The following is an 11,859-nucleotide window of genomic DNA, read 5'->3' as shown; positions in this document are numbered from 1 at the left end:
GCTAAAGGAGCATGTCCTAACCCATCGCAAGGATGCTAAAAACCTTGAAAAAAGGTTAGACGAATGGCTAACTAGGATAAACAGTGTAGAGAAGACCTTAAATCACTCGATGGAGCTGAAAACTATGGCACGAGAACTACGTGATGCATGCACAAGTTTCAATAGCCAATTTGATCAAGTGGAAGAAAGAATATCAGTGTTTGAAGATCAAATTAATGAAATAAAGTGAGAAGACAAGATTAGAGAAAAAAGAGTAAAAAGAAACGAACAAAGCCTCCAAGAAATATGCGACTATGTGAAAAGACCAAATCTACATTTGATTGGTGTACCTGAAAGTGACAGGGAGAATGGAACCAAGTTGGAAAACACTCTTCAGGTTATTATCCAGGAGGACTTCCCCAACCCAGCAAGGCAGGCCAACTTTCAAATTCAGGAAATACAGAGAACGCCACAAAGTTACTCCTTGAGAAGAACAACCCCAAGACACATAATTGTCAGATTCACCAAGGTTGAAATGAAGGAAAAAATGTTAAGGGCAGCGAGAGAGAAAGGTCGGGTTACCCACAAAGGGAAGCCCATCAGACTAACAGCACATCTCTTGGCAGAAACCCTACAAGCCAGAAGAGAGTAGGGGCCAATATTCAACATTCTTAAAGAAAAGAAAATAATTTTCAACCCAGAATTTCATATCCTGCCAAACTAATCTTCATAAGTGAAGGAGAAATAAAATCCTTTACAGACAAGAAAATGCTGAGAGATTGTGTCACCACCAGGCCTGCCTTACAAGAGCTCCTGAAGGAAGCACTAAACATGGAAAGGAACAACCAGTACCAGCCACTGCAAAAACATGCCAAATTGTAAAGACCGTCTATGCTATAAAGAAACTGCATCAATTCATCGGCAAAATAACCAGCTAATATCATAATGACAAGATCGAATTCACACATAACAATATTAATCTTAAATGTATATGGGCTAAATGCCCCAGACACAGACTGGCAAATTGGATAAAAAGTCAAGACCCATCAGTGTGCTGTACTCAGGAGACCCAACTCATGTGCAGAGACACACATAGGCTCAAAATAAAGGGATGGAGGAAGATCTACCAAGCAAATGGAAAGCCAAAAAAAGCAGGGGTTGCAATCCTAGTCTCTGATAAAACAGACTTTAAACCAACAAAGATCAAAAGAGACAAAGAAGGCCATTACATAATGGTAAAGGGATCAATTCAACAAGAAGAGCTAACTATCTTAAATATATATGTACCCAATACAGGAGCACCCAGATTCATAAAGCAAGTTCTTAGAGACGTACAAAGAGACTTAGACTCCCAAACAATAATAATGGGAGACTTTAACACCCCACTGTCCATATTAGACAGATCAACGAGACAGAAGGTTAACAAGGATATCCAGGACTTGAACTCAGCTCTGCACCAAGCAGACCTAATAGACATCTACAAAACTCTCCACCCCAAATCAACAGAATATACATTCTTCTCAGCACCACATCGCACTTATTCTAAAATTGACCACATAATTGGAAGTAAAACATCCCTTAGCAAATGTAAAAGAACAGAAATCACAACAAACTGTCTCTCAGACCACAGTGCAATCAAATTAGAACTCAGGATTAAGAAACTCACTCAAAACCACACAACTACATGGAAATTGAACAACCTGCTCCTGAATGACTACTGGGTACATAACGAAAAGAAGGCAGAAATAAAGATGTTCTTTGAAACCAGTGAGAACAAAGACACAACATATCAGAATCTCTGGGATACATTTAAAGCAGTGTGTAGAGAGAAATTTATAACACTAAATGCCCACAAGAGAAAGCAGGAAAGATCTAAAATTCACACACTAACATCACAATTAAAAGAACTAGAGAAGCAAAAACAAACAAATTCAAAAGCTAGCAGAATGCAAGAAATAACTAAGATCAGAGCAGAACTGAAGGAGATAGAGACACAAAAAAACCTTCAAAAAATCAATGAATCCAGGAGCTGGTGTTTTGAAATGATCAACAAAATTGATAGACTGCTAGCAAGACTAATAAAGAAGAAAAGAGAGAAGAATCAAATAGAAGCAATAAAAAATGATAAAGGGGATATCATCACCGATCCCACAGAATTACAAACTACCATCAGAGAATACTATAAACACCTGTACGCAAATAAACTAGAAACTCTAGAAGAAATGGATAAATTCCTGGACACATACACCCTCCCAAGACTAAACCAGGAAGAAGTTGAATCTCTAAATAGACCAATAACAGGCTCTGAAATTGAGGCAATAATTAATAGCCTACCAACAAAAAAAAGTCCAGGACCAGACGGATTCACAGCCAAATTCTACCAGAGGTACAAAGAGGAGCTGGTACCATTCCTTCTGAAACTATTCCAATCAATAGAAAAAGAGAAAATCCTCCCTAACTTATTTTATGAGCTCATCATCATCCTGATACCAAAGCCTGGCAGAAAAAAGAGAATTTTAGACCAATATCCCTGATGAACGTCAATGCGAAAATCCTCAAAAAATGCTGGCAAACCGAATCCAGCAGCACATCAAAAAGCTTATCCACCATGATCAAGTTGGCTTCATCCAACCAAGGCTGGTTCAACATATGCAAATCAATGAATGTAATCCATCACATAAACAGAACCAATGACTAAAACCACATGATTATCTCAATAGATGCAGAGGCACAGGTATACAGATGTAACAAACCTGCATGTTGTGCACAAGTACCCTAGAACTTAAAGTATAATAATAATAAAAAAGAAAAGGCCTTTGACAAAATTCAACAACCCTTCATGCTAAAAACTCTCAAGAAATTAGGTATTGATGGAACGTATCTCAAAATAATAAGAGCTATTTATGACATACCCACAGCCAATATCATACTGAATGGGCAAGAACTGGAAGCATTCCCTTTGAAAACCAGCACAAGACAAGGATGACCTCTCACCACTCCTAGTCAACATAGTGTTGGAAGTTCTGGCCAGGGCAATCAGGCAAGAGAAAGAAATAAAGGGTATTCAATTAGGAAAAGAGGAAGTCAAATTGTCCCTGTTTGCAGATGACATGATTGTATATTTAGAAAACCCCATCATCTCAGCCCTAAATCTCCTTAAGCTGATAAGCAACTTCAGTAAAGTCTCAGGATACAAAATCAATGTGCAAAAATCACAAGCATTCCTATACACCAATAACAGACAGAGAGCCAAATCACGAGTGAACTCCCATTCACAATTGCTACAAAGAGAATAAAATACCTAGGCATCCAACTTACAAGGGTTGTGAAGGACCTTTTCAAGGAGAACTACAAACCACTTCTCAACGAAATAAAAGAGGACACAAACAAATGGAAGAACATTCCATGCTCACAGGTAGGAAGAATCAATATCGTGAAAATGGCCATACTGCCCAAGGTAATTTATAGATCCAATGCTATCCCCATCAATCTACCACTGACTTTCTTCACAGAATTGGAAAAAACTACTTTAAAGTTCATATGGAACCAAAAAAAGAACCTGTATTGCAAAGACAATCCTAAGCAAAAAGAACAAAGCTGGAGGCATCACGCTACCCAACTTCAAACTATACTACAAGGCTACAGTAACCAAAACAGCATGGTACTGGTACAACAGATATATAGACCAATGAAACAGAACAGAGACCTCAGAAATAACACCACACATCTACAACCATCTGATCTTTGACAAACCTGACAAAAACAAGAAATGGGGAAACTATTCCCTATTTAATAAATGTTGCTGGGGAAACCGGCTAGCCATATGTAGAAAGCTGAAATTGAAAGCCTTCCTTACACCTTATACAAAAATTAATTCAAGATGGACTGAAGACTTAAATCTTAGACCTAAAACCATAACAACCCTAGAAGAAAGCCTAGGCAATACCATTCAGGACATAGGCATGGGCAAGGACTTCATGACTAAAACACCAAAAGCAATGGCAACAAAAGCCAAAATAGACAAATGGGATCTAATTAAACTAAAGAGCTTCTGCACGGCAAAAGAAAGTACCATTGGAGTGAACAGGCAACCTACAGAATGGGAGAAAAGTTTTGCAATCTACCCATCTGACAAAGGGCTAATATCCAGAATCTACAAAGAACTCAAATTTACAAGAAAAAAACAAACAACCCTATCAAGAAGTGGGCAAGGAATATGAACAGACACTTCTCAAAAGAAGACATTTATGCAGCCAACAGACACATCAAAAAATGCTCATCATCTCTGGTCATCAGAGAAATGCAAATCAAAACCACAATGAGATACCATTTCACACCAGTTAGAATGGCAGTCATTAAAAAGTCAGGAAGGCCGGGCGTGGTGGCTTATGCCTGTAATCCCAGCACTTTGGGAGGCTGACATGGGCAGATCACGAGGTCAGGAGATCGAGACCATCCTGGCTAACATGGTGAAACCCCGTCTCTACTAAAAAAACAAAAAAATTGGCTAGGCGTGGTGGCAGGCACCTGTAATCCCAGCTACTTGGGAGGCTGAGGCAGGAGAATGGTGTGAACCTGGGAGGTGGAGCTTGCAGTGGGCCAAGATTGCACCACTGCACTTCAGCCTGGGTGACGGAGTGAGACTCCAACTCAAAAAAAAAAAAAAAAGTCAGGAAACAACAGATGCTGGAGAGGATGTGGAGAAATAGGAATGCTTTTACACTGTTGGGAGTATAAATTAGTTCAACCATTGTGGGAGACAGTGTGGCAATTCCTCAAGGATCTAGAACTAGAAATACCATTTGACCCAGCGATTCCGCTACTGGGTATATACCCAAAGAATTATAAATCATGCTACTATAAAGACACATGCATATGTTTATTGTGGCACTATTCACAATAGCAAAGACTTGGAATCAACCCAAATGTCCATCAATGATAGGCTGGATTAAGAAAATGTGGCACATATACACCATGGAATACTATGCCGCCATAAAAAATGATGAGTTCATGTCCTTTGCAGAGACACGGATGAAGCTGGAAACCATTATTCTCAGCAAACTGTCCCAAGGACAGAAAGCCAAACACTGCATGTTTTCACTCATAGGTGGGAACTGAACAATGGGAACACTTGGACACAGGGCAGGGAACATCACACACTGGGGTCTGTTGTGGGGTAGGGGGCTGGGGGAGGGATAACATTAGGAGAAATACCTAATGTAAATGACGAGTTGATGGGTGCAGCAAACCAACATGGCACATGTATACCTGTGTAACAAACCTGCATGTTGTGCACATGTACCCTAGAACTTAAAGTATAATAATAAAAAAAGAAATTACAGATACAGTAAGTATTTAAGGCAAGGATGTTTATTATAGTAATATTTATAATAGTAAAAATAAGTCTTTAAAATTTGCTATTTCAGAATATCTGATAACATGAGAACATATTTGCAGTATTAAAAACAAATAATTATGAAATCTTTTATATAGAAAATTACAGCAAATATAACAAACATCCATATACCCTCCAGCCAAATTTAACAAATGTTGACAGTTTGCCATATTTACTTAAGAATGTTTTAAGAAATAAAAGGTTGCATATATCATTGAGTCCTCTTTTATAGTCTTCCCTTCCCTACTGCTCCATAGATAACTATGGAGTTATCTGAAATTGGTACATACTCTTCTTATTCAGAAGTTATACCTTTACTACATATATTTATCTATATAAAAATATATAGCATTTTAAAATAATTTACAAAATTTTTAATCTCTATCTATGTGTTTTCATTCAACACAATTTCCAAGATTTACTTAGTTTGATATGTGGATAAAATTGTTTTTTATTGCTATGTGTAGTGTTTGAACTACACAAATATATTTAATACACATTTGAAATTGGATTATACCAGTTCAATGATTATCTCTAAATGAACATACTCATCTAAGTACAACCCGGCTGAAGGAATAGAACATTATAGAATGTTGCCTGTACCCCAAAAACTCTCCTTTATGTTCATTTCCAACAACTATGCTTTTTTCCCCCTGAAAAGTAGCCACTGGCATGATTTTAATGACATAATTTTGCCAGTTTTTGAACATTACGTGAAAGAAATCATGTGGTGCTATACATTTGCCAATTATGTGTTTCATTCTTCTCATTCCTTGCTGATTTTATTGGGTCCATTATCAGCTATGGAGAGAGATTTATTAAACTCTTCTGCTACGAGTGTGAATTTGTCATCTTTCCCTTTAATTCTGTCAATTTTTGCTTTTTTAAAGAAATATTTTAAAACTATGTTGTCGCACACAGATAGATTTAGAATTGTGATAGCTTTCTGGTGAATTAACATTTATGAGTATGAAATACTCCTCTTTAACTTTAGTAACTTTTTGCTTTAAGGTCTATTTTTCTGCTACTAGGATGGCCATTCCAGTTTTCATTTGGTTAGACTTTGGATATCTTTTCCACTCTGATTTTCTTTCTATATCTTTTCCACTCTTTGATTTATGAAGGGCAGATTTACTTGATATAGTATTCTTGGCTGACAGTTTTTTTTTTTTCTTTCAGCACTTTGAATATATCATCCCATTCTCATGCCATTCTCTCCTGGCTTGCAAGGTTTCTCTTGAGAAATCTATTGATAGCCTAATAGTGATTCTCTTATATGTGACTTGATGCTTTTCTCTTGCTGCTTTCAAAATGCTCATTTTGTTACTTTTGACAGTTTAGTTATAATATGTCTTGAGGAGGACCTCTTTTGGTTGAACCTCTTTGAGCTTCATGGATCTGGATGTCTATATCTCTCCCAAGACTTGGGAAGTTTTCAGCAATTATTTAATTAAAGAAGTTTTTATCCCTTTCTCTGTCTCTTCTTCTGGAACATAAGTAATGCAAGAGTTATTTTGCTTAATGGCATCCAATAAGTCAGGCAGGCCATCTTACTTTTTTATTTTCTTTCCTTTTCCCCTACCCCGAGTAATTTCAAAAAACCTATTATCAAGTTCACAGATTCTTCTGCATGATTTAGTCTGCTGTTGAATCTCTCTACTGTATTTTTTGTTTCATTTATTGCATTCTTCAGCTACAAGATTTCTGTTTGGTTCTCTTTTATAATATCTATCTCTTGGTTGAATTTCTCAGTCAGATCATGAATTGTTTCCTTGAGTTTTTTGAGTTGTCCATCTGTATCCTGAATCTCATATCTTGCTGAATTTTCTTAAAAATATTATTTTGAACTCCTTTTCAGGCAATTGATAAATTTTCTTTTCTTTGAGGTCAGTCACTAGAGAATTATTGTGTTCCTTTGGTGGTGTCATGTTTTCTTGCTTTTTCATGTTTCTTTTATCCTTGTATTGATGTCTGTGCATCTGGTGGAACAGTCACCTCTTCCAAAATTTACAGAGTGTCTTTTGTAGGTAAAGACTTTCACCTGCAGGTGGGTCTTAAGGTGCTGTTTGGGCAGGGTGTGGTGGCCCTGATTCCAAGTGGAGGCAGTGGTATAGTCTCTGTGCAGCTTCTTCAGCTGCAGTCAAGGTCAAGAATGACTGTGGGCACCTCACCGGCCTAGGCTGCCAGAGTTTGTGACAGCAGTGGCAGAAGTGTGTGCTGTTAGAGTTCTCAGTAGCAAGAGCTTTTAGGGTCCTCCCATTCTCATTTCCTCCATAAGAAGAGTCTTAGGTGAGGGCATCTCTCCTCATGTTGGGTCTGGCATGGCCCACAAGTGGCTGCAGTGGTGCTAGGTTCCAGGGTACAGGTGCTCAGAGTGGCTTTAAAACCTGAGTTTGGGCTCACGGTCTCACAAACCTACTGTGGCAGCTGGCACTTGGAGTGAAGGTTCACTCTCTGAGGCATAGGTAGATGCAGATGGTCAATAAAGCTGGTGTCTGTGGCTTTGAGGTACACTCCAGCAGCTCGGGCTCATTAGGCTGGATGGTAGCTCTGACTCCGACCCTGAAGGGCAGGGCACAGCACTGGCTCAGCTCCAGGGGAGAAGGGGTGCTCTGGAGATTCAGGTCCATGAGCAGAGAACAGCTATAATTTGGGAAATGGAGCCAATAGGGCACAGCAGTAACTCAGGTCCTGGACGATAAGGCACTGTGTAGTGGTGACTCTGGACCCAGGGATGATGAGACAACATAGCCGTGTCCCTGGCTCCATGAGACAGCAAGGACCAGGAATGGCAGAGTTCAGCTGTGGCTTGGGCCCCAGGGGACATGGAGCAGCACAGCAATGGCTCCACTTTCCAAGGAGGCAGGGTGCCTCAGCAGCTCAGAATCTTGTGGTGTCAAGGGCGAGAGGTAGTCCAGTTCCAAGAAGACAAGGTTCTACAGTTGTTTGGCCTGGTAGGTGGTCTCAGCTCACTCAATGCTGTTTTCTTGGGATGCAAGGTGCCATGTCAATTCAGCCCTGGGATGTACAGCTGCCAGGCTCATCCAAGGCACTGATTCCCTGGGAGGTAGGGCATTACTTCAGCTCAGGTGCTGGGGGTGTGACTACCCTGAGTAGCCAAGGCAAGAATTCCCTGGAAGACACAGTGCCACTTCAGCTCCAGCACCAGGGAGTGTGACTGCTCTGGGTAGCCAAGGCATTGATGCCCTGGGAGATGGGTGCTGCTTCAGCTCAGGGCCTGAGAGGCAGGGTGTAGCAGCAACTGGGAGGGTGGATGAAGTCGTTCTGGTTCCAGTGCAGCTTGTTGCCTCTGGTTAGCTCCTGATCCTGGGGCATAGACCTCCAGGGTTTCTAATTGATTCTCTGAAATGTTCACTGAGACATGTTCCCCGGGCAGGCCCTAAATTCTAATCTTTCTCTCCTCAACACCATAAAACTGCCCAAAATTCTCTGCTTGAAATTTTAGCCATATTCCTTGTACAGTTACAGAATTTAGCCAACTTATTGAGGCAAAACAAACCACATTTTTGAGAGTCCTCAAGTCTCCAATTTTAATCAATTACACCTCGTAAGACTTCTGAAGCTCTGATGGTTTCTCAATCACCTGGGAGTGACTCACTGCCTGGGCAAAGTTTCTCAGCTTTTTACCTATTCACAGAATTGACAGAGATCGCCAGCTTCCTCTCTGCAGATTCCCCTCCCCAGAATCTGATCCTGTATAGTCTTCATTGGCTCCTAGGCTCTGTGATGCCTTTAACTATGGCTCTTGCATATTGATCTGCTTTTCTAATCACATTCTATGGTGCAATGATCTGCCACAGCTATTTCCCCAGTAAAGACAGCTCTCTAGCCTTCTCTATTATCTACCTTTTTAAGGGTGAAACAGTGTTTGAAAAATGTAGGGATAATTTGAGGTTTTATGTGATGTTATCTTCCATCAGAGGAAGGTTTGCTTCTGGCTGTTAGCTAGTCAAAGGTTAGATTGAATTGACATGATTTGAAGCTTGGCTTCATTCTTTGTGAGGGTGGATTTACTCTTATAACTAGAGCACAGGCCTTTGGGGTCCCAGCAGAATTCCTGGGGTGTTACCAGGATCCCTCCTCCCGAGTGAATCCTGACCTCCATTTTGGTTACATTGCCTCACCAGACGGCTGAAAGCTCATTGATTTATCAGTCCCCTGTCACTCTTCTTGCTTATGGAATCTACCTGTTGCTTTGAGGGGCAGAGAGGCCCCAAATTCCAGGTTCATTTCTCTTGATTTCCTTCCTCTTTCAGATTGTAACACCACAAAGTTTCATTGCTTTGACCATTTTTCAGAAGCCTTCAAACATATTTTGTTATATGTTATCCAGCTTTTCTAGTTCTCGGGGAGGGTTGGTCCAAAACCAACCTAGTCTGTCCATACAGGAAGTGGAATTGTCAACAATATATAATTTATGTGCTGTATGGTACTAACTTGGCTAAAACTAAAAGCATGTGCTATGGTTTCAATGTTTTGGAAACTTTAATCGCCAAATTCATATGTTGATGGTATTTAGAGGTGGGGCCTTTGGGAGGTAACTAGGATGAGATAAAGTCATCAGGGTGGGCCCATGATGGGACTGGTGGCTTTATAAGAGAAGGGAGATCTGAACTGGCATGCTCTTGCCTTCTTGCCACATAATGACTTCTGTCATTATAATGCAGGAAGTAGGCTCTCACCAGATGCTGGCACCTTCACGTTAGACTCCCCAGCCTCCAGAACTTAAGAAATAAATGTCTTTTCTTGATAAATTACCTGGTATCAGGTATTCAGTTATAGCAACAGAAAATGGACTAAGACAGTATGTATGTACAGTTGGCCCTCTGTATCCATGGGTTCTGCATCCATGGATGCAACCAACTGAGGATGGAATATACAGTCATGCATTACTTAACAATAGGGATACATTCTGAGAAATGCATTGTTAGACAATTTCATCATTGTGCAAACATCAGAATGTGCTTACACAAACCTAGATGGTAGAGCCTACTCCACACCTAGGCTATGTGGGATAGCCTATTGCTCCTAGGCTACAAAACTGTAAAGTATGTGACTGTATTGAACATTGTAGGCAGTTGTAACACCATGGTAAGTATTTGTGTATCTAAACACAGAAAAGGTGAAATAAAAATACAATATAAAAGATACAAAGTGGTATACGTGTATAGGGTACTTTTCATGAATGGAGCTTGCAGGACTGAAATTGCTCTGGGTGAGTCAGTGAGTGAGTGGTGAGTGAACGTGAAGGCCTAGGACATTGCTGTATGCTACAGTAGGCTTTGTAAACACTGTAGACTTAGGCTGCACTGTTTATTTCTAAAAGTTATTCTTCCTTCAATAATAAATTACCCTTAGCCTACTGTAACTTTAGTTTATAAACTTTAAAATTTTAAAAAACTTTTTGACTTTTTTGTAATAACACTTAGCTTAAAACACAAATATATTTTACAGCTCTACAAAATACTTTCTTTGTTTCTTATTCTATTAATATAAGCTTTTTCTATTCTTTAATTCTTTAATTTTAATTTTGACTTCTTAAACCTTATTATTAAAAACAAAGATACAAATCACACATTAGCTTAGGCTTATACAAGCTCAGGATAATCAACATCACCGTCTTCCACCTCCACGTCTTGTCCCATTGGAAGGTCTTTAGAAGCAATAACATGCATTGAGCTGTCATCTCCTATGATAACAATGCCTCCTTCTGGAATACCTCTGAAAGGACCACCACAAACACATGAGTAATGTACTGCCCTACAATGTTATGAGAGCTATGATGTTACTAGGTGACCAGAAATTTTCAGCTGCATTATAATCTTATGGAACCATCGTTACATATGCAGTTTGTCATTGACCAAAATGTCATTATGCAGTAAATGACTATTCAGAAAAAAACACAATACAATACAAAATAATAGAAATAAAAAAGACAGTATAACTATTTACATAGCATTTACATTATATTGTAATCTAGAGATGATTTAAAGTATACAGGAGGGCACATGTAGGTTATATGCAAATACTACACCATTTTATATAAGGGACTTGAGCATCCACAGATTTTGGTATGCACAGGGGTCCTGGAACCAGTTCCCCTCAGGCTACTGAGGGACAACTGTCTATGAGAAAGATATAGGTCAAATAGTTAATGGTGGTTGTCTTTGAATGATTGAATTATAGATGATTTCCATATTGTCTCTGTGTTTCCTGTATTTTCCAAATTTTCTATAATAAATATGAGTCTTTTCATATTTAAAAGCAAATTTTGAAAAAGATGACAGCCAGGAAATAGCAGGCAGAGGAAGAAAGCTGGCAAAAAGGATCATACCTTCAGAGCATACAGGAGTAACGAGCCCAGTTTCTTCCTACTGCACCCTCCCAGCGCAGTCACACAGTACTTCTGACACCAGACATGTGTTTGCGGGGTGGAGTTTCTTCCCACCAGCCAGCAAGCAATC

The sequence above is a fragment of the Homo sapiens genome, chromosome 12 (assembly GCF_000001405.40).
Source record: "Homo sapiens chromosome 12, GRCh38.p14 Primary Assembly".
Classification (NCBI taxonomy): Eukaryota; Metazoa; Chordata; class Mammalia; order Primates; family Hominidae; genus Homo; species Homo sapiens.
This window is presented reverse-complemented; position numbering follows the sequence as displayed.